Source organism: Homo sapiens, chromosome X, assembly GCF_000001405.40.
Source record: "Homo sapiens chromosome X, GRCh38.p14 Primary Assembly".
In the NCBI taxonomy this organism is placed as follows: Eukaryota; Metazoa; Chordata; class Mammalia; order Primates; family Hominidae; genus Homo; species Homo sapiens.
The window spans coordinates 130,236,062-130,259,884 of record NC_000023.11 but is presented as its reverse complement, the minus strand read 5'-3'; the positions used below and the strand labels follow the sequence as shown (position 1 = coordinate 130,259,884).

Below are 23,823 nucleotides of genomic sequence, written 5' to 3'. Positions count from 1 at the left end.
CCAAGTAGCTTGGATTACAGGCACCCGCCACCATGCCTGGCTAATTTTTGTATTTTTAGTAGAGATGGGGTTTCACCATGTTGGCCAGAGTGGTCTCGAACTGACCTCAAGTGATCCACCCACATCGGCCTCCCAAAGTGCTGGGATTACAGGCGTGAGCCACTGTGCCTGGCCAAAACAAATATTTATTAAAGTAATACATATTCCTAGTTTAAAAAAAAATACAGTAAACATGTCAGTAATAGATATGAAATGTTTCCTTCTCATCCCCAGCGATAACTACTGTTGTAGGTTTAGTATACATAATCACAAACTTTTTTCTGTGCATAGACAAAAAATAATTTCTAAATAAGATCATACTATATATGTTATTATGTGCCTTTTAAAATTTTTTGCTCGGTAGCATATCTTGAAATTAACAATGACAGTACTCAGTTTAAAAGAATGGGGAAGACCTATTTATTTGTTCCCATAATATCACAGTGGTGTCAACATGAATGTAAATTACTTTTTCAATCATCAGTATATATGAGTCTCCCTTGTTTCTTTAAATCTGGCATTGCCTGGCTTTACCTAGTTTCTTACCCCATAGATAATCATGTGTTAAGTACCTACTACATATCCAATACACTACTGTGTGTAGGAGGAAATACAAAGAAAGAAAATATGTTTTTCACTCTCAAGGAGCTTACTTTGGAGTTGAACATGTATAATTAAGGCACACTAAGAAATAGGCAGTTTGAGATCATATATATTAAATCTTGAATTGCATAGCATAGACTGTCAGTGCAGTAAGAGGTTAAAGAAAAACAAATCTAATGGTTTGCTGAGGAAGTTATAATTGAACTAAGAGTTGGAAAGGGGCAAAGAATCAATTTGGGGGGATATCTGTTTGAAGTTAGATACTTATTAATATGGCATTTTCCTGAATCTCTGTTACCACTTCTATTAGGTAGATATTGTGCTCATGTTAGAGGTGAGAAAATAGATTCAAGTAATTTCTCCAGAGTCACATAATTAAAAATGGTGCAGTGAGGATTTGAACTATTCAATTTGATGTCAAGTGCATGCTCTTTCCACTATACTCGAATGATGTGGACAGTATAAGGTAAGGAGAAAGGGTATTCCAGGTGGAAGAAGCAGTACGAATGAGGACTTCAAAGGACACAATGAGTGCGGTATTTTCAAGTATTCAGAATATACAAATACTGAAATATGAATTAATACTTTTAATTGTCTGACTTACAACATTCTATGTAATGTTTTTTGAGGTATTTGGAAAAAAGGGTCAGTTCATAATATTGGTTACATTTGGGAGAATTTGAAGATTTTTTGTTTTGGGGGTTTCTTTGTTTGGTAGGCAGACTACTGAACATCAAACAATGTTATGCCAAGCCATGATATCTGGCATATCTGTATAGAAGAGGAAATCAAAATGTTTTAAAAGAATGGAACCAATTTGTTAAGAGGTTTTGTTTGTGTACTGTCCTCAAATCATTGTTTTCAAGTTTTACATGTTAAGGCCATGCTAAAGGATGGCCTTAATTTTGAGTCAAAAGTAGAAATGGCATTATTTTAATATAGTAAAATTACTGTTAGGAATGACTGCATTTGAAAAACAAAGATATCATTGTCTAAGCCAGAACCCTGAAGAAGTTTTATTTTGTTTTTATTTATTCTTATAGTTGTCCCCGACAATCCACATGTCACTCCACCACTTATATACATTCCCATTTTTATTATTTATTATTTATTTTTTATTTTTTTGAGACAGAGTCTAGCACTGTGGCCCAGACTGGAGAGCAGTGGTGCCATCTCTGCTCACTGCAACCTCTGCCACTCAGGATCAAGTGATTCTCCTGCCTCAGCATCCCAAGTAGCTGGGATTGCAGGTGTGCCCCACCACTCCCAGCTAATTTTTGTAATTTTTGTAATTTTAGTAGAGACGAGATTTCACCATGTTGGCCAGGCTGGTCTCGAACTCCTGGCCTCATCTCAGTCTACCAAAGTGCTGGGATTAAAGGCGTGAGCCACTGTGCCCAGACCCCATTGCTGTTACATTAGTTTACATCTCCTTCACTATTTTTTAACCTAAACAATACACTTATCTTTTTTTAAAGTCAAACAACTTGAAAAGCCTTTAAGTTACTTAAGCACAGTCTCTTGAAGGGAGGGAGTGAAGGAGAGAGAGAGAGGTAGAGATAGGTGTGTATGTGTGAGCACATGCAGGTACCTATATACTCCCTGTTTTTTCAAGCTAAAAAACTGAAAGCATGTACTTTCAGTTGTATAGCTGTTTTTCTAATAATTCCACGTTTCTCAATTTTTAAAACTCATATGTACATATGTTGTCTCTTGAATCATCAAGTTTTGCCATTACCTAGTGATTTTCTGTCAAGGAAGATGAGGATTTTGGTTTTCTTAAAGCTTTTTCTTCCTTTTAAGCATCTCTCAATATAGTTATATCTGAATTTTTCAGTAAATCATATTCAGTGATTTTATGATGACCGTAATACTGTTCACGGGTGAGCATGGTACTGTATTAATGTATTATGATGGATACATTTCCTTTTCTCTTTTTCTATGTATTGTCCAATTAAAATTTTCATTTTATAAGTCAGCAAAGTTTATTAAAACCTATAGCCACTCACACCCTTCCAGAGCCTTTTTTTTTTTTTTTTTTTTTGAGACAGAGTCTCGCTCTTGCCCAGGCTGGAGTGCAGTGGCGTGATCTCGGCTCACTGCAAGCTCTGCCTCCCAGGATCATACCATTCTCCTGCCTCAGCCTCCCGAGTAGCTGGGACTACAGGCACCTGCTACCATGCCTGGCTAATTTTTTTGTGTTTTTAGTAGAGACGGGGTTTCACCATGTTAGCCAGGATGGTCTCGATCTCCTGACCCCGTGATCTGCCTGCCTCGGCCTCCGAAAGTGCTGGGATTACAGGTGTGAGCCACCGCGCCTGGCCCTCTTTCTTTTATTTTATTTTCTGAGACAGTCTCACGCTGTTAACCAGGCTGGAGTGCAGTGGCGTGATCTCAACTCACTGCACCTTTACCTCCCGGGTTCCAGCAATTCTCCTGCCTCAGCCTCCCGCCTAGCTGGGATTAAAGGTGTGCGCCACCATGCACTGCAAATTTTTGTATTTTTGTTTTCAGTAGAGACAGGATTTTGCCGTATGGACCACACTGGTCTCACACTCCTGACCTCAAGTGATCTGCCCACCTCAGCCTCCCAAAGTGCTGGGATTAAGGTCGTGAGCTACCGCGCCCCCCCACTTCTTTGTCCCCTTTTTTTCTTGAGATGGAGTCTCCCAGTCGCCCAGACTGGAGTGCAGTGGCGCAGTCTTGGCTCACTGCACTTCCCACTCCCGGGTTCCAGCGATTCTCATGCCTCTGCCTCTGCCTCCCGTGTAGCTGGGAATACAGGCGTGCACCACCACCGCGCCCGGCCCCATGGCCTCTTAATTCACTTTTCCTGCACTGAAACTTGTCAGGTAATCTAACAATTTAATGTTTAATATTTTAATAATATTTAGGGGGATTGGCACCTTCCTGGGAGTGGTATTCTCCTGCACAGCTCTTGTCCTGGGACTTTCTTTTGTTTTTGTATTGTGCTCAATGTCAGATTTTCTGCATCCTGTGCCATTCTCCTTCTTAAGTCTTGTTTTGGTGGATTCCTACTAAGAAAGGGGGAATGAGAGGGAAATGTTGTATAATATTGCTGGTCTTTATTCTTATTCTTATTTTTTTTTGGAGATAAGCCCTTACTCTGTTGCCTAGATTGGAGTGCAGTGGCACCTTCATGGCTCACTGCAGCCCCACCTCCTGGAGCTCAGGTGATTCTCCCACCTCAGCTTTCTGAGTAACTAGGACTTGAGTGCACACCACCATGCCTGACTAAGCTGTTCTTTATTCTTGTTTGTTTGTTTGAGTGAGACTCTCCATCACCCAGGCTAGATTGCAGTGGCAGGGTCCTATCTCAGCTCACTGCAACCACCGGCTCCTGGGTTGAGGCGATTCTTGTGCCTCTGCCTCCCAAGCAGCTAGAATTACAGGTGCGCACCACCATGCCCAGCTAATCTTTGTATTTTTAGTAGGGACAGCGTCTCACCATGTTGTCCATGCTGGTCTCGAACTCCTGGCCTCAAGTGATCCACCTGCCTTGGCCTCCGAAAGTGCTGGGATTACAGGCCTGGGCCACCACACTCAGCCACCTGGCAATTTCTGATATTCTGAAATTTCATATGTCCCGCTAGTGTAGTTTTTATTCTTGATCATTGTGCTGGCTGTTAGTGGGCCCTTTCTTTCTGTAGATTTATATCCATGAGAACTAGGAATTTTTTTTGTATTTTCCTTTGATTACTTCTCCTCTCCTTTTTCTCTCTCTTTTTTTTTTTTCTGGAGCTTTTGTTAGGTGCATTTTATACCTTTGAAAATGATTTTTCGGCCGGGCGCGGTGGCTCACGCCTGTAATCCCAGCACTTTGGGAGGCCGAGGCGGGCGGATCACGAGGTCAGGAGATCGAGACCATCCCGGCTAAAACGGTGAAACCCCGTCTCTACTAAAAATACAAAAAATTAGCCGGGCGTAGTGGCGGGCGCCTGTAGTCCCAGCTACTTGGGAGGCTGAGGAAGGAGAATGGCGTGAACCCGGGAGGCGGAGCTTGCAGTGAGCCGAGATCCCGCCACTGCACTCCAGCCTGGGTGACAGAGCGAGACTCCGTCTCAAAAAAAAAAAAAAAAAGAAAAAAAAAGAAAATGATTTTTCTACCAATCTTGTTTTCTGTGTTTAATATATGTGTTTTTTGTCTTTTGGTTTCACATTTACTCAACTTTGACATTTGACTTTTTTTTTTTTTTAACTGAATTTTGGCTGTCTTTATATAATATCGTTGTCTTATCTGTCTAAAGATGTTTATTATATCCTATTATTGTCTCTTGCTCTGTATTATCTGTGTCTTCTTTTTTTAACTTTTATTTTAAGTTCAGGGATACATGTGCAGGTTTGTTATGGGTACACTCATGTCTTGGGGGTTTGTTGTATAGGTTATTTCATCACTCAGGTATTAAGCCTAGTACTCATGAGTTATTTTTCCTGATCCTCTCCCTCCTCCCACCCTCCACCCTCAAGTAGGCCCTCAGCATCTGTTGTTCACCTCTATATGTCCATGTGTTCTCATCATTTAGCTCCCACTTATAAGTGATAACATGTGGTATTAGGTTTTCTGTTCCTGCATTAGTTTGCTAAGGATAATGGTCTCCAGCTCCATCCATGTTCCTGCAAAGGACATGACCTTGCTCTTTTTTATGGCTGCAAAGTTCTCCATGGTGTATATGTACCACATTTTCTTCATCCAGTCTACCATTGATGGGCATTTGGGTCGATTCCATGTCTTTGCTCCTGTGAATAGTGCTGCAGTGAACATATGTATACATGTGTCTTTATGATAGAAGAGTTTACATTCCTTTGGGTATATACCTAGTAATAGAATTGCTGGGTCTAATGGTAGTTCTGTTTTTAGCTCTTTGAGGAATCACCACACTGTCTTCCACAGTGGTTGAACTAATTTACACTCCCACCAACAGTGTATAAATGTTCCTTTTTCTCTGCAACCTCCCCAGCATCTGTTATTTTTTTGACTTTTGAATAGCCATTCTGACAGGTGAGAGATTATATCTCAGTGTGGTTTTGATTTGCATTTCTCTAATGATCAGTGATGTTGTGCTTTTTTTCATATGCTTGTTGCCTGCATGTATGTCTTCTTCTGATAAGCATCTGTTCACATCCACTGCCAACTTTTCAATGGGGTTGTTTGCTTTTTTCTTGTAAATTTGTTTAAGTTCTTTATATATGCTGGATATTAGCCCTTTGTCAGATGCATGATTTGCAAAATTTTTCTCCTGTCTGTAGGTTGTCTGTTTACTCTGTCTCTAGTTTCTTTTGCTCTGTCTATAGTTTCATTTAATTAGAGCCCATTTGTCAATTTTGGCTCTTGTTGTAATTGCCTTTGACGTCTTTGTCATGAAGTCTTTGGCCATTCCTATGTCCAGAATGGTATTGGCTAGGTTGTCTTCCAGGGTTTTTATAGTTTTGGGTTTTACATTGAAGTCTTTGATCCATCTTGAGTTGATTTTTGTGTATGGTGTAAGGAAGGGGTCCAGTTTCAGTCTCTTGCATATGGCTAGCCAGTTATCCTGGCACCATTTATTGAATAGGGAGTCCTTTCCCCATTGTGTGTTTTTGTCAGCTTTGTCGAACGTCAGATGGCTGTAGGTGTGTGGCCTTATTTCTGGGCTCTCTATTCTGTTCCATTGGTTTATATATGTGTTTTTGTACCAGGACCATGTTGTTTTGGTTATTGTAGCCCTGTACCATTTGAAGGCAGGTAGCATGATGCCTTCATCTTTGTTCTTTGTGCTTAGGTTTGTCTTGGCTATCCAGGCCTTTTTTGGTTCCATATGAATTTGAAAATAGCTTTTTCTTGTTCTGTGAAGAATGTCATTGGTAGTTTGATAGGCATATCATTGAATTTATAAATTGCTTTGGGCAGTATGCCATTTTAACAATACTGATTCATCCAATTCATGAGCGTAGAATGTTTTTCCATGTGTTTGTGTCATCTCTGATTTCTTTCAGCAGTGTTTTGTAATTCACATTGAAGAGATCTTTAACCTCCCTGGTTAGCTCTATTCCTAGGTATTTTATTCTTTTTGTAGCTGTTGTGAATAAGATTGTGTTCCTGATTTGGCACTTGGCTTGACTGTTGTTGGTGTATAGGAATGCCGGTGATTTTTGTACGTTGATTTGTATCCTGAGACTTTGCTGAAGTTGTTTATCAGCTTAAGGCACTTTTGGGCAGAGACTATGGGGTTTTCTAGATATTGGCTCATGCTGTCTGCAAACAGGGATAGTTTGACTTCCTGTCTTCCTATGTGGATGCCGTCTATTTCTTTCTCTTGCCTGATTGCTCTAGTCAAGACTTCCAATACTGTGTTGAATAGGAACGGTGAGAGAGAGCATCCTTGTCTTGTGCTGGTTTTCCAGGGGAATGCTTCCAGCTTGTGCCCATTCTGTATGATGTTGCCTGTGGGTTTGTCATAGATGGCCCTTATTATTTTGAGGTATGTTCCTTTAATACCTAGTTTATTGAGAATTTTTTTTTTTTTGAGACGGAGTCTCACTCTGTCACCAGGCTGGAGTGCAGTGGCACGATCTTGGCTCACTGCAACCTCCGCCTCCTGGGTTCAAGCCATTCTCCTGCCTCAGCCTCCCAAGTAGCTGGGACTGCAGACACGCGCCACCACACCCAGTTAATTTTTTTATTTTTAGTAGAGACAGGGTTTCACCATATTGGCCAGGATGGTCTTGATCTCTTGACCTCGTGATCCGCCCACCTCGGCCTCCCAGAATGCTGGGATTACAGGCCTGAGCCACCACACCTGACCGTTTATTGAGTATTTTTAACACGAAGGGGTGTTGAATTTTATTGATAGCCTTTACTGCGTGTATTGAGATAATCAGATAGTTTTTGTCCTTAGTTCTGTTTATGTGATGAATCACATTTATTGATTTGCATGTGTTGAACGAACCCTGCATCCCAGGGATAAAGCCTGCAGGATAGTAGTAGATAAGCTTTTTGATGTGCTGCTGTATTCGGTTTGCCAATATTTTGTTGAGGATTTTTGCATCCATGTTCATCAAAGATGTTGGCATGAAAGCTTTTTGGTTTTTTGATTTTTGGTTTTTTCGTTTTTTGTTTTTCATTTTTTCTGAGATAGCGTCTCATTCTGCCACCCAGGCTGTAGTGCAGTGGCACGATCTCAGCTCACTGCAACCTCCACCTCCTGGGTTCAAGCGATTCCCCTGCCCCAGCCTCCCAAATAGTTGGGCTTACAGGTGTGCGCCATCATGCCTGGGTAATTTTTGTGTTTTTAGTAGAGACGGGGTTTCGCCATGTTGGCCAGGCTGGTCTTAAACTCTTGACATCAAGTGATCCGCCCACCCCGGCCTCCCAGAGTGCTGGGATTAAGGTCGTGAGCCTCTACGCCTGGCTCCTTCTGTCACCTCTGTTTTTGTTTTTGTTTTTTTTTTTTTTTCAGACGAAGTCTGGCGCTGCCTCCCAGGCTGGAGTGCAGTGTTTCGATCTCAGTTCACTGCACTTCCCCTTCCGGGTTCCAGAGATTCTCGTTCTCTCCTGGGTTCCAGAGATTCTCATTCTTTAGCCTCCTGGGTAGCTGGAACTACAGGCATGCACCACTACCGCGCCCGGCCCCATGGCCTCTTAATTCACTTTTGTTACACTGTGAAACTTGTCAGGTTATCTAACAATTTAATGCTTAATACTTTGGAAGATTGGCTGGTCTCCTGGAAATGATATTCTCCTGCGCTACTCTGGCTGTTTGCTCTGTAGACCTACTGCACAGCTGTTGTCCTGGGATTTTCTTTTGTTTTTGTATTGTGCCGAATGTCAGATTTTCTGCATCCTGCATTGTCCTCCTTCTTAAGTCTCGTTTTGGTGGATTCTTCCTGAGAAAGAAAGGGTGAATGAGAGGGAAATGTTGTATAATATTGCTGGTCTTTTTTTTTTTTTTTTTTTTTTTTTGAGACAGGTCCTTACTGCGTTTGCCTAGACTAAAATACAGTGGTGCCATCATGGCTCACTGCATCCCCAGTCTCCTGGGGCTCAGGTGATTCTCCCACCTCAGCATTCTGAGTAGCTGGGAAAGAAGTACTTGCCATCATGCCTGGCTAAGCTGTTCTTTATTATTATTATTATTATTTTATTTTTTTGAGACAGTCTTACTCTGTCGCACAGGCTGGAGTACAGTGGTGTGATCTCACCTTATTGCAACCTCTGCCTCTTGGGTTCAAGTGAATCTTCTGCCTCTGACTCCCAAGTAGCTGGAATTACAGGCTTTCACCATCACCCTGGCTAATTTTGTATTTTAGTAGAGATGGGGGTTTCACCATGTTACCTATCCAGGCCGGTCTCGAACTCCTGGCCTCAAGTTAACCACCCACCTCCGCCTTCCAAAATGTTGGAATTACTGGTGTGAGCCACCGCATCCAGCAAAGTTTTATTTTTTTGTTGTGTCTCTTCCAGGTTTTGTTATCAGGACAATGCTGGCCTCATAGAATGAGTTAGGAAGGACTTTCGGTAGGAATAGTACCAGCTCTTCTTTGTACATCTTGTAGAATTCAAGTGTGAATCCATCTGGTTCTCACCTTTTTTTGATTGGTAGGCTCTTTTTACTGGTTCAATTTCAGAGCTCGTTATTATTCTATTCAGGGCTTCAGTTTATTTCTGGTTCAGTCTGGGGAGAGTGAATGTGTCCCAAAATTTATTCATTTTTTCTGGATTTTCTAGTTGGTGTGCATAGAGGTGTTCATAATATTGTCTGATGTTTATTTGTATTTTTCTGGGTTCAGTTGTTGTATCTCCTTTGTTGTTTCTTATTGTGTTTATTTGGATCTTCTCTCTTCTGTATTAGTCTAGCTAGTGGCCTATTTTATTAATTTTTTCAAAAAACAACTCCCTGATTCACTGATCTTTTGAATGGTTTTTCTTGTCTCAATCTCCTTCAGTTCAGCTCTGATTTTGGACATTTCTTGTCTTCTCTCTTAGCTTTGGAATTGGTTTGCTCTTGGTTCTCTAGTTCTTTTTGTTGTCATGGTAGGATGTTAAATTGAGATCTGTCTTTTTGATGTGGGTGTTTAGTGGTCTCTTTACATAATCCCATATTTCTCAGAAGTCTTGTTTGTTCCTTTTCATTCTTTTTTCTCTATATTTTTTTGGCTATCTTAGAAAACCAGTCTTCAAGTTCTGAGATTCTTTCCTCCGCTTGTTCTATTCCGCTATTAATACTTATGATTGCATTTTGAAATTCTTGTATGTTTTTCAGCTCTATCAGGTCAGTTACGTTCTTTTCTATACTGGCTATTTTGTCTATCAGCTCCTGTATTGTTTTACTATGATTCTTAGCTTCCTTGGATTAGGTTTCAGTGTACTCCTGCATCTCAGTGACCTTTATTCCTGTTCATATCCTGAATTCTTTTTTCTGTCCTTTCAGCCATCTCAGCCCCCTTCGGAACCCTTGTTGGAGAGTGAATGCAGTTTGGAGGAAAGAAGGCACTCTGGCTTTTTGAGTTGTCAGAGTTCTTTTGCTGGTTCTTTCTCTTCTTTGTGGGCTGATGTTCCTTCAGTCTTTGAAGTCACTGTCCTTTGGATTATTTTTTTCTTCTACCTGATGACCTTAAGGGTTTGATTGTGGTATAAGGTAGATTCAGTCAACTGGCTTCATTTCTAGAAGATTTTAGGGGGCCAAGGCTCAGCTTACAACTCCTGGAGTGCATGCTCTAATTTTGTAGGACTGATATTGGACCTCTGCTTTTTTCTCTGGCTTCTCAAGGTTAGGAACTCACTGTGCTAGGGGGACTGAGGTGCTCGTGGACCTCTTGTCCCAGCACGCCAATGGGTGATGCCAGCCAAACTGTTTTGTAGGGCAGTGACAGCAGGGCCCATTCTTGTTCACACATGCCAGTGGCAGCAGCAGCACAGCAGAGTGCACACTCATCAGCTGCTGCAGGGTGCTAGTGGCTTCTGCGTGGGCTTTCGCAGAAGTGGCAGAGGCAGCATGGCTCAGGGGTGCAGGGGCCCCAGGTGGCAACTGTGTGTATGGTCATGCTGGTGGTGGCATTAGCATGGGGATGGGGCACTGGCCGTTGCAGGACTGTATGCACTCTTTGTACATGTTGATACAGGCAGAGATGGCCGCTCAGGGTGGGGGAGGGTCCACTGTTCTCTGTGCGTAGTTACATTCTAGTGGCAGTGGTGGCTCAGGGGCAGGGTGCTGGTGGGCACAGGTCTTGCGGGCTCTGTGCTCACCAAGGCTCCGACTACAATGGTAGTATGGCAGAGGAGGGTGGGCGGAGTGCACTCCCACTGGCAGCAGGCAGGGCAGGGTGCACATACACATATGTTCTTACGGGGCAGGGAAGGCAAGATCCACTTGCGCACATACGCACTGACTGGCAAAGTGATGTGGAGGGTGGCCATGGACCCAGGGTAAGCTGGAGTGGGGAGAATGAGCAGGTGGGCCAGTGCATGGCCACAGGGGCAACCCTGCTGGAGCTCTCCGCTGGTCAAGCCCGGTTGGCCAGCTCAGGAGCTATGATGCTGGCCATCAGGGCACTCTAGGCTGTACTGCAAGAGGGAATGGGCAGACTGGGGCTCCAGGAGAGGACAGCTGACCAAAGAGTGCTCAGGTCAGATGGGCAAGACCACCCTGCAGAGTTCAGGTCTGACAGTTCCCCTAGTGCTACAGTCTCCTATGGAAACAAGCAGAGCCTAGGGGGATGGGCATCCCAGGCTGTGCTTGAATACAGATGTTCCTGCAACAAACCCTCTGGGCTCCACTCTGGCTCGTGTGCTGCCTCTACCACTTCTCTAAGCAGCTCTCCCTGCCAACTAAAGTGTCAGTGGTGATCAAAGGGTCTTCTCCTGCCGGGATTCCCAGAGGTCCATGGCAAGAGTGAGTTGTTCCTTGCCAGTTCAACTCACCCATTCCCCCGTAGTCATTGGGGGCCAGGAACCAATCCAGGTGCACAGTAGCCCCATACAGGCTTCCCAGTTTCCTCCCGCTTCATTCTAGCTTCTGTGTCTTCCCTCAGCCCACTCAGCACCTCCCCTTTGAAGATGTGTTAAGAGTGCACCAGTTGTCCCAGTCCCTCGGTGGCAGCTGTTCCACCTGTCTGTATCTAGTTTGCCATCCTGCCTGGCTGTCGGTTTTCTTTAAAATCCTTTAATCTGTTTTATTGCTTTGGTGTTTCACATTGAAGGTTTTCCTCAATTTTCTGGTACGCATTGGTTGTCCACCCATATTTAAGAGTGAGGCACTAAAATGCTTCCCAGGAGATCTGATTTGGGTCAGAACTTGTAGGCTGGTGATATTCACAGTATATTTTTTACTTAGTTTCTTCAAATGAGAAATGTCTAATCTGTCCTGAAACAGAATTAAGTTTCACTTAATTTCCCTATTTTCAGTCTAGTACCTCATGCCTGCTTTGCCCTGTGCCTGATATACCTGAATCTGGTTCCGTTTTTCTAGTATATCTCCTATGTATTTTCTCTTATTCTTAGTTTATCTCCCTTGTTTATACAAGTGAATTTTTTTTTCAGATAATAGCTACAGTCTTTTTTGTAGATATAATCATCCTAGTCCTATAACTAAAACTCACTTTGGATTTGATCCTAAAATGTATTGGCCACTGTAAATGACTACTATCCTTCATTATCTATCTGTCTAGCCAAGTTTAACTGGTTTAGATCTTAGAGATTTAGTTCTGAGCTCATTTCTTTTGCTACCATGTACTGATTACAAGGCAGAGATGGCCGCTCAGGGTGGGGGAGGGTCCACTGTAGACCATGCCTGTAGTCCCAGCTACTCAGGAGGCTGAGGCACGAGAATCAAGTCAGTAGGCTGGGCATGGTGGCTCATGCCTGTAATCCCAGCACTTTGGGAGGCTGAAGCAGGCGGATCACTTGAGGTCAGGAGTTCGAGACCAGCCTGGTCAACATGGTGAAACCCATCCCTACGAAAAATACAAAAATTAACTGGGCGTAGCAGTGGGCGCCTGTAGTCCCAGCTACTTGGGAGGCTGAGGCAGGAGAATCGTTTGAACCCAGGAGGCGGAGGTTGCAGTGAGCCGAGATCACGCCTGGGCAACAAAAGCAAAACTCTGTCACAAAAACAAACAAATATCAAGTCAGTAATTGCTATTAGGATTATTACAGTGCATCTTAAATATCATACTATGTATTGCACAGAAAATATTTTTCTCTTTGAAAATAAAGTTAGCTTCTCTTCTCTTGAAAATTAGACATTTCAAAAATGGCAGAACTCTTTATGGAATGTGAAGAAGAAGAGCTAGAGCCATGGCAGAAGAAAGTAGAAGAAACTCAGGATGAGGATGACGATGAACTGATCTTTGTTGGAGAGATATCAAGTTCAAAACCAGCCATTTCAAGTAAGCATTTACTTTCAGTGAAGTAACGTTTCATAAGATGGTTGTTTCTAATGGAAAATATATGAGATATCTGTCCTTCATACTGTTGTTCTTCTGTAAGGAGTTAGAGGTAAGAGGGAGAGTAAAGGTCAGTAAGAACTTGTGAGAATCAAAGCGGGAATGTAGTTGGGGACTGGAGTAAGGAGGTGAAAGGTTAAAATATCAGATGTGAGCAAAAGGAAATAACTAAGTTAATTGAGGGTTAAGATGACCTGAACAGCATTGTAAGCCTTCTGAGATTGGAAATCATAATTTTTAATGGAACCAAGTAGCCTATTTATTTGTTAATTTTTTTTTCTCCCTTAAACTCAGATTTACAGAAAAGGAAGTGTTTGGAATACTTTTCTTAAAATATCCTGATATGCTAAATAAGTTTGTGTTAGTGTCTGATGGGGGTTCTAATGTCTAAGCAACTGCCTCATCAAAGTATCATCTTGATATATGACTATAAAATGCATAGGTGCTGCATGATTATAGAATCTCTGGTCTGTCTACCAGCATGTGCTATAGCCTTTGGCTACACCCATCTTCCGCAACTACTGTTTATATTCATGAAGGAGGGAGGGCCTGGTTTTCCAACACTATACTTGGACAATGCAGGCAGTCAGCACACGTAAATCTTTTTGGCTTTCTAGCAAAACATGTCCAGTACCTTTGTGGATTGTTAGATTTCTGTTAGAGTAATTAGACTTGGCATTATTACAATGTTAAAGTGAAGATACTGGTGATGTTTATTAAAATAAAATATCTCCTCCCTGTAATCCTAGCAGTTTGGGAGGCCGAAGTGGGTACATCACTTGAGGCCAGGAGTTTGAGACCAGCCTGGCCAACATGGTGAAACCCCCTCTCTACTATAAAGATTAAAAAATTAGCCAGTCATGGTGGCGCGTGCCTGTAGTCCCAGCTACTCAGGAGGCTGAGGCATGAGAATCGCCTGAACCTGTAGGCAGAGGTTGCAGTGAGCCAAGATCACGTCACTGCACTCCAGTCTAGGCAACAGAGCAAGACTATATCTCAAAAAAAGAAAAAAAAAAAGTCCTCAAATATGTCTAAAGTGCAAGGGACAACATAACTGAATTTCAGGAGAGAAAGAGGGAAACAGATCCTTTTTCATTTTATTTACTTATTTTAGGCCTGGAGAAGTCAAGGAATGTAGCCAGCATACCAGTCTTCTTTCTTACCATGGCAATGAGTAATAGTGTGGTTAAGAGATGAGTTTTAAATTTTCTGAAATCCTAGTTCTTACTTCTCTTGGCTCTAAACTTGGAATAGCATTTCTACTCAGTTTTATCAGAGGCAGAATAATTTAGCCAATTGAATTCTCAGTATCATTTCCTGTGGCAAATTGGGAGGTTCTAAGTGGAGAGCCACTTAAATTATTAAATGAGCTAGATATATTTGGCATATTTATTATTGATAGTAGAATAGAATATTCTCTTATTATTTCTAGTCACTGTGACAATTTTTATGCTGAAATATTACCATATTTCAAAATTATTACTCAAATCATCTTATTGAAGCATGACAAGATTCAAGTTGGATTTATATTGATTGTAGATGACTTAGCAGTACTCAACCAAAACAATGTGTATTCGTTTCAAGAGATTCTATCAAAAAGGGTATTGGGCCCACTAGAATTTCTTTTCTATATTGATAACTTAGAATTTAAGTGATTTTATTGATGTTTTATTTGTGAGCTATAAAATATTTTAGCATATGGGATCTCATCTAAATGTTTATATAGAAAAACAATGAAGGCAGGGGAAGGAGAGCAAAAAACTTGTGATTGGTAGACTATAACCACCAACAAGTAAAAATAGCTCTTAGTGGATTGAGTAATACTTATCTTGAATTTCTGAATGAAAACATTATCAAGTTGTTTGAGGATATTTTTCTTTTAGAAGACTTCCGTAATGTTTACTCATAGAGTACTGCATTTCTATGATCAGAAAGCAACCCTACTTTGGTGTGACCCTTCACTTAATAGAATTGTTTTGTGAGATCTGATTCTTTTCTCTCTTTTTTTTTTTTTTTTTTTTTTTAAGATGGAGTCTCGCTCTGTCGCCCAGGCTGGAGTGCAGTGGCACGATCTCGGCTCACTGCAAGCTCCACCTCCCGGGTTCACACCATTCTCCTGCCTCAGCCTCCCAAGTAGCTGGGACTACAGGTGCCTGCCACCACGCCCAGCTAATTTTTTTGTATTTTTAGTAGAGACAGGGTTTCACCATGTTAGCCAGGATGGTCTCGATCTCCTGACCTCATGATCTGCCCGCCTCGGCCTCCCAAAGTGCTGGGATTACAGGTGTGAGCCACCCCGCCTGGCCGGGATCTGGTTCTTTTCTACTAGGAGAGAAAAAAGGAAAATGTTTGAGGTTTTATGGGATTTGTTAATGCTTTGTGCCTTTTCCTGATAAACAATTTTAAGCAAATCACTATTCTTCCAAATTTCAATTTGACTCCTCAGTAACCTAGAAGTTACGGAGTTCATATGGGTACAAGGGTGTGCAGTCTTAAACCGATCCAGAGGGTTTTGTGAGGCTCAAACTGACTTCTAGCGTAGTAATAGATTTGAAACCCCTTACATTAATCAGATACTCTGGAACTCCAGGTTTAATTTAGTCTAATCAGATACTCTGGAACTCCAGGTTTAATTTAGTCTGTAGTCTCTGATAATTTCCTATTCAGAACTCAAGAGTAATGGTACAGAAAGTTAATCCAGTCAGCCCTCCCATCATGAAACTTCCAGATTTTTAGAGGTGTGAATGTGGCACAGGGTTGGGGAAGGGTTTGATTTCAAGTCACGGGAATCAGAATCTGTACACAACCCTGTCACCATTAAAGGAAAGAAATATACTTCAATTATTGGTTATGCAAAGATATGTTTTTGGAGGAATTTTTCTATTAGTATATATTTCATTCACATAACAAATTTTAAAATAAATATAATTTTATAGATATTTTGAACAGAGGCCACTCCAGCTCATCTTCAAAAGGAATAAAGAGTGAGCCACACAGTCCAGGTACAGTATTACTGTAGTATTTCAATTTTAAAGTTAAATATTTTGATATAATTGGTTGTATAGAAATATATTCAATATGTTGTATAATTTTAAAATACAGGTATTCCTGAAATATTCAGGACTGCAAGTCAACGCTGCAGAGACCCACCATCAAATCCAGTGGCTGCCTCGCCTAGATTTCATCTTGTATCTAAATCTTCACAAAGCTCTGTTACTGTTGAGAATGCGTCTAAACCTGTAAGTGTTTATAAAATTACACAATTAATTCAGGGACACATTGGCTATTATAATACTGAGTTAAAATTGTGATCTGTCAGCCGGGCACAGTGGCTCACGCCTGTAATCTTTGGTACTTTGGGAGGCCAAGGCAGGCAGATCGCTTGAGCCCAGGAGTTCGAGACCAGCCTGGCCAACATGGCAAGACCACATCTCTACAAAAATACAAAAAATTAGCTGGGCATAGTGGTGCACCACCTGTAGTCCCAGCTACTCGGGAGGCTGAGATGGGAGGATTGCTTGAGCCCTGGAGGTCAAGGCTGCAGTGAGCCAAGATCATACCACTGCATTCCAGCCTGGGTGAGAGGGTGAGATCCTGATTCAAGAAAAAAACAAAAGCCAACACAAACAAACCCAAAAAATTGTGAACTGTCATAGCTAGTTACCATTTCAGTAGAAAAATAATCCCCATCTTTATGATATAACTCAACCAAAACCCAAAATAATAACTGCAGGAATTGTCCAACATATTAATAAATCAGCTAATATGCTTAAATACAGTATTGAAAACTATACTATCTAAATATGAGTGAAAAAGTATGATCAGGTTGGGCATAGTGGCTTACACCTGTAATCCTAGCACTTTGGGAGGCTGAAGGAGGTGGACTGCTTGAGCTCAGTAGTTCGAGACCAGCCTGAGCAACATGGTGAAACCCTGTCTCTATTTAATAAAAAAAATAAAGGCTGGGCGCAATGGCTCATGCCTGTAATCCCAGCACTTTGGGAGGCCGAGGTGGGTGGATCACCTGAGGTCAGGAGTTCAAGACCAGTCTGGCAAACGTGGTGAAACCCCGTCTCTACTAAAAATAAAAAAAAATTAGCCAGGCGTGTTGGCGCATGCCTGTAGTCCCAGCTGTTTGGGAGTCTGAGGCAGGAGAATTGCTTAAACCTGGGAGGCAGAGGTTGCAGTGAGCCGAGATCGCACAACTGCACTCCAACCCAGGCAACAGAGTGAGACTCCATCTCAAAAAGACAACAACAAAATAAAAAACTAAAATGTATTGCAACATGAATAATGCATAATGGCCACATTTTTAAGTTAATAAACTAAAACAAGTGTTCTTAAATTGGAAAGAGTGTTCTGAAGTCATTATTGCTTATTCTGAAATCATACTTTCATAGTTTAGCTTTAAAAACTTTTAATAAAAGTAATAGATAATGATAATACTTAACATTTACTGGCCTGTTAATATGTACAAGTCTTTGTGCTAATCTTATTTAATTCTTATGGCATCTTTATGAGGTAGGCACAATTTTTATTTTTTTATTTTATTTTTTTTTGAGACGGTGTCTTGCTCTGTCTCCCAGGTGGGAGTGCAGTCATGTGATCTCAGCTCTCTGCAACCTCTGCCTCCCAAGTTCAAGAGATTCTCCTACCTCAGCCTCCCGAGTAGCTGGTATTACAGGCACGCACCACCACACCCAGTTAATTTTTGTATTTTTAGTAGAGACAGGGTTTCACCATGGTGGCCAGGCTAGTCTCGAACTCCTGACCTCAGGTGATCTGCCACCCGCCCCCCCCCGGCTTCCCAAAGTGTGGAATTACAGACGTGAGCCACCACGCCCAGCTGAGATGGGCACTATTATTATTCCCATTTTATAGTTGAGGAAACTCAGGCTCAGAGAGGATAAATGATTCACTCAAGGACACACAGCTGGTAAATGATGGATCTGGTATTTCAATCCAGGTTAACCCAGAATTTTAAACATGTGTATACACACATCCATTTATACATTTAAGCATATACTTTATTTATTTAGAGACAGGGTCTTGCTCTGTCACCCACTCTGGAATGTAGTAGCATGATCATAGCTCACTGCAGCCTCCAACTCCTGGGCTCAAGCGATCCTTCCACTTAGCCTCCTAAGTAGCTGGGACTACAGGCATGCACCACCATGCCCAGCTAATTTGGCTTTTAATTTTTTTTAGAGATGGGGCTCTCACTGTGTTGCCCAGGCTGGTCTTGAACTCCTGGCCTCAAGCTATCCTCCATCTCAGCCTCCCAAAATGTTGGGATTACAGGCGTGAGCCACTGCACTCAGCCCCATTAAGTATGTACTTTTTAAATGGAAGCATTGCCTTAGAGCAGTGGTGTACCCTTACGGTTCCCTAAGTCTCTTTCAGGGATCTGTGGGATTAAAACTATTGTCGTAGACATTTGTGCTCTTCACTGTGTTGACATTGTAAAACTCTCCAAGTGACTGTAATGTGCAGCCAGAGTTGAGAATGACAGACAGATATTCTCGAATGAATTGAGAATCCTACATAAGGAAATTTTATTTAAAAATTTAAATCTATTTCATTATCTGTATCTCAGTTCTTTCAGGCAGGGAAGGAGAGTATTATTATTATCTCTTTTAAAGTGAGTATTATTATTATCTCTTTTAAAGATATAGCTTAAGGACACAGGCTTTGTAATCAGGCGGACCTTAGTTCTGATTCCAGCTCCTTCATCTGTAACAGGCTGGGTTGTACTGGGAACCTTAACTACGAGAAATTTTAGTTTACCTATTTATAAAATGTGAGATAATATTAGGTCTTTATTCATACTGTTATGACAACTATTAATAAAATACATGTACTGTGAAAGAGGCAAGTACATTTTAAATACATAATTATTAGTGGCTCTTATTTCAGTTGGAAAGGTAAATAACTTGAAGCTCAGAAGTGGCTTGCCCAAGGTAACATAGTTAAATAAATGGACAGGTCTTCTGAATCTCAGCCTCTTGCCTAGTCTGCCTTACTGTTACATTTGTTATCTTTCTGAAATATTTTATGAGACATAAGAAATTCCCAATTGGAGAATTATTTAACAGGTTGTTTGTTGAATAATGTGTCTGCTTTCCGAAATTGTGGTACTTAATTTATCAGAGATGTCACCTCAGAAAAGGTTGAAAGTGTTACCTTTATTCAGAGGAACTTCTGTTAACTATTTTTGGAAATTGCAAACGGATATTTTCCACTTTTAAACTTTTAAATAAAAAATATTTAGAGAAAATATTTACTTTGTGGTAAGATTGCACTTGGTTACAATTAAGTCATAGTCTAAAACCTAATCATCTCTCAAAGTGTAAGCACAAAACAAGCAAGCAAAATCTTTATATCCTCATTATAAAAGTATTGTGTAAGGAGGGATAGGTTAGAAAAGAGACAGGGAAGAATATATACTGTATTTTGATTTTCGTTTTCTGTAGATGGTTAGGGTGACATTAGAGTATATCAGTCAGGGGACCATATTAATATATATTTGATATCTATTCCTCATTTTTCACTGAACATTGTACTGGGAACATTGTTCTTTGTCATTGGGTATTTCCCAAAAACATGATGTTATGTGATAGTATCATTTAATTTATTTAGTCATTTCTTTATTGTTATACATACAGGTTTTCAATTTTTGCTATTATAAATCATTCTTCATTAAACATTTTCATTTCTTTAGCATAGATTCTTAGAAATTGAGTAATTGGAATAATTGGACCAAAGAATATGAACTTTTTTTAAAAAGCCCTTGATATAGATACTGCTAAAATTTCCTTGCAGAAAAGTTGTTCCAAAATATAACCTCTACTTTGCCTGTAATATTATTTTTAAATTTTAACATTTTATTTCAAACTAATTTTAGATTTACAGAAAAATTACAAAAATAATGCAGAGTTCCCATATACTCCTCACCCAGTAGATGCTAATTTTGGCAGAGACTAATAATTACCTTTGTGTTTTATACCATATTAGTAATTGAGTTATTAAGATTCTTTATAGTATTGACATACAGCTAAATTTATCTCTATAAAAGTTTATGAAACAAAATAATTATAAATTTTTACAGGATTTTACAAAGAATTCACAAGTTGGATCGGATAATTCTTCAATTTTACTGTTTGACTCGACCCAGGAATCACTACCACCATCCCAAGACATACCAGCAATTTTTAGAGAAGGTTTGGTTTAGCACTCTTTCATAAAAATTATAAAAAGAGACTTGTCGAATATACATATGGAATTGAATTTCTGTTTTGAAGCCCATACCTTCATGTTAAGTTTTTCATATATTATAACATGGAATAGAGCTAATCATTCCTGAATGCCTTTCTTGGGTGATATAGAAAATTGTATTTAGTGATAGAATGTTTTATTTATTTCTATTAAGTTGGCTAGCACATATTCTTTGCACTCTTTTTCACTTGGAACCAGCCATGGACTGAACAATCTTAATATAATTTCTGTGAGTCAAGGAAGTCCCCTGATGCCTTAAATACTCTGCGAAAACAAGTAGTAATTATTTGGAAGACACTTAATATGAGAAAACGTGCATGGTTATAGTTGATTTCTCAATATGCTAATGTCTTTCTATTCAAATAAATGATGTGGATATGATAGTTAAATATGATTATAGAGTAGTATTGTAAAATGAACGAACTAAAGAAACAGTGATTTCCACATGGTAAGTACTCAGTAAATATACTTTGAAGTAATAATGGAAATTTTCCAATTGAAGTGTTACAGTTCTTTGATGTCCACCATAACAAAGTTCTTCATTAACCTAAAATAGTATGCCAATAAAGGAATTTTGTCTCATTGAAAAATTCCCTATAATCAAAGCAATTACTATTCTCTATATTACCTAGTTTGATATGTTTCACTAAATGGAAAGAGGAACACAATTTTTTTGCATATGTAATTATTTACTCATAAATTAGTATATAACCTTTACCAAACCAAAACAAAAAAATTATAGTCATATGAATGCCAAAAATATTTTCCCATTTTTATATTACTTGGTTTGATATTCACCTATCTAGGTGTCACTTATCTAGATAGTAAAATAGCCAAGAACCGAAACAAACAGGGAGATAAAACAGTTGTTTTAACTCGGGTTTTGCAAAGCACATGATCTTTATTCATGGAAAAAGTCTGAATTCTTGAAGCTTCCAAAGGGTAAAGACAGTGACTCCTACTCTCTCTCTAAGATTAATACAGCAGAGAGTGGGACTTTGTCCTGAATAGTAAATAGGATTATAGTTGATTGGGAAGGTACAGGTTTAAGCCTTTATTCTAAAGATTTTTGTGGCTTTTATCAAGTCATCTAACCTCTTTATACCTCAGTTTTCTCACATTATTAAAATACTTTCATTTTTCTCACATAAAGCATTTATTCTCCAGACCTGAAATGAGCCAGCCATTTGGATATTCAATTTTAATTCTTGCTCTCTTTATCTCAGGGCTTCTTTGAGGCCCAAATAAAATAAGTGGAAAGTGAAAAATGCATTATCAATTTTAAAGGATTTGACAATAAACAGTTGTTAGAATGATAATCATGCATGATAATATGTGCTATATGTTCAGAAGCATGATTAATGGACTCCTGTCTAAGATGATCATGGAGAGTTCTTAGAGAAAGTTGGATTTGAACTTGATTTTGAAGAATGAGGATAGGATTTTTATTAGCACAGATAAGAAGAGTTGAGGTAGGGAACACCGCAAGCCAAACACAACACAAATAAGTAAGCTAAAGGGTCAGAATTTAAAACTATTGAGCTCAGGTTGATTTTATTTAACTTAGATTCATCATGCTTAAAATAAGCATATATTAAAACAGTCTATTATCCAGCTGGTTATATAATCAGTTGCCTAGTCCAAAGTACTAGCACTCATTGGTTGTTAAAGTAACCTAAGCATCTCAGAAAAAATGTTAGTGATTACACAAAAATTAGTCTTAGGTGCCTTCAATATAGCTGGCAGTAATTATGTGCTTTGAGGATGGAAAAAATCATTTCTGTTTAAGGAAAAAATCATTTTTATCTCAAAGAATGAAACACAGATTTAACAGAGGAACCCATTAATGTAATACTTACTTTCCTGGCATATATCTACTCTACTGCTTCTCCTATTAATGTACAGTTGTGAGCTTTTAAAACACGACATGCAGTTTTAGAACCCTTATCACAAAGTACAATCGTATATTATTTTCAAAAATCACTTTTGCTGGGTCTGGTTATAGCCTAAATAGCCCCACATGTCTTGGGAATGCCCTGAATTATATAATCCTTTGGTCTTTAAGGTGGTGGCTCTCAAACTCAGAACTATCTTTAGCAATGAAATTCTTACTCAGATAAAATTTATGCAGAAATTAATAAAACATAAAAGCAGAGTTTCTTTATCTGACATACCCATTACATTTTCTAAGATAGACCCATTGGATTAAGGGGAACATACTTTGAAAGTCATTATACTAACTCTAAACCTTTTCATATGAATGAGTGAGGTATTATCATTCAACATTAGTTGTTTCTACTTTGTATATAGGGAGTAAACAAGATAATTTAAACCACCTGTTAGTTTGTTCGGTGGAAAAAGAACCAACTTGAATTTTCCATTACACATCTTAAGTTTTTTAAAAAACATTAAAAATGTTTCTCTAAACGTTTGGAATAAATTTTTTAAATATTTTACAAACTCAAATGTATTTAAGCATCTAAATATAAGTTGATGTGTAGAAACTTAGAGTATTCCCTGTGCTATAACTTTTATTTATTTTATTTAGCTTGGAATTTTTTGGTCTAACTTTTTTCATGATACCTGTTTGTTTTCTTTATTTGAAAGCATTTTTAGAATTTGGGTATATAAAGTTTATTTTGTGAAGTAAAGATATGTAGTTCATAGTAGTAGCTGTTTGTGCAATTTCTGCTTGCTCATATAAATTTTAATCATTCTTTATTGTCATTTGTATGATATGCTTATTAAATTATATTACCTTTAACTTAGTTCCAAACTGTTTTTGCTCAGTTTTAAATGTAAAGCCATTTTGGTAGCAGTTTTACATAAGCAATATTCCATACTGAAATATTTACAAATATCTTTCTCACTATTTAAATCTTTGTAGGTATGAAAAATACTTCATATGTGTTGAAACATCCTTCTACTTCTAAAGTAAACAGTGTTACTCCAAAAAAACCAAAGACCAGTGAAGATGTTCCTCAGATAAATCCCTCCACTTCATTGCCTTTAATTGGCTCTCCTCCAGTGACATCCTCCCAAGTTATGCTGTCAAAAGGTAAACATGAAATCTGACATGTAAAAAAAAATAGTATTATTTTTATATACGTTTTAGAAATTGTGATGAATTTTAAAACCATTATTAGTGGTCATTTAAGGTTTTAAAAAGATGGATTTGAGTCTTAAAAGTTCTTAATTTATTGTAGGTACAAATACCTCATCTCCATATGATGCTGGAGCAGATTACCTAAGAGCTTGTCCAAAGTGCAATGTTCAGTTCAATCTTTTGGATCCTTTGAAATACCACATGAAGGTAAAACTTTTTTCAAAGTTCAATTGTTAAAAATGTTTTATAGATCCTTGAAAATATTGAAAATTGATATACAGTAAATGCTGGTTTATCCAGATATTTAGAGAAGAAACCTCGTATTGGCATTTCCATGTAACTTAAGTTAAAATTGATAT

At 39.3% G+C, this 23,823-nt stretch overlaps 1 protein-coding gene across 2 annotated transcripts in view; it reads left to right on the top strand.

Annotated features, from left to right (window-relative positions):
* The window catches only part of ZNF280C (zinc finger protein 280C), a 66,193-nt gene that overhangs the window by 9,015 nt on the left and 33,355 nt on the right, over positions 1 to 23,823 (top strand). For both annotated transcript variants that reach the window (XM_006724765.4, NM_017666.5), the window contains exons 3-8: positions 12,880 to 13,026; positions 16,020 to 16,085; positions 16,186 to 16,322; positions 20,192 to 20,303; positions 23,246 to 23,416; positions 23,565 to 23,671. In XM_006724765.4, the coding sequence (XP_006724828.1) occupies positions 12,880 to 13,026; positions 16,020 to 16,085; positions 16,186 to 16,322; positions 20,192 to 20,303; positions 23,246 to 23,416; positions 23,565 to 23,671 (740 nt within the window). The remainder of the gene's footprint in view (positions 1 to 12,879; positions 13,027 to 16,019; positions 16,086 to 16,185; positions 16,323 to 20,191; positions 20,304 to 23,245; positions 23,417 to 23,564; positions 23,672 to 23,823) is intronic.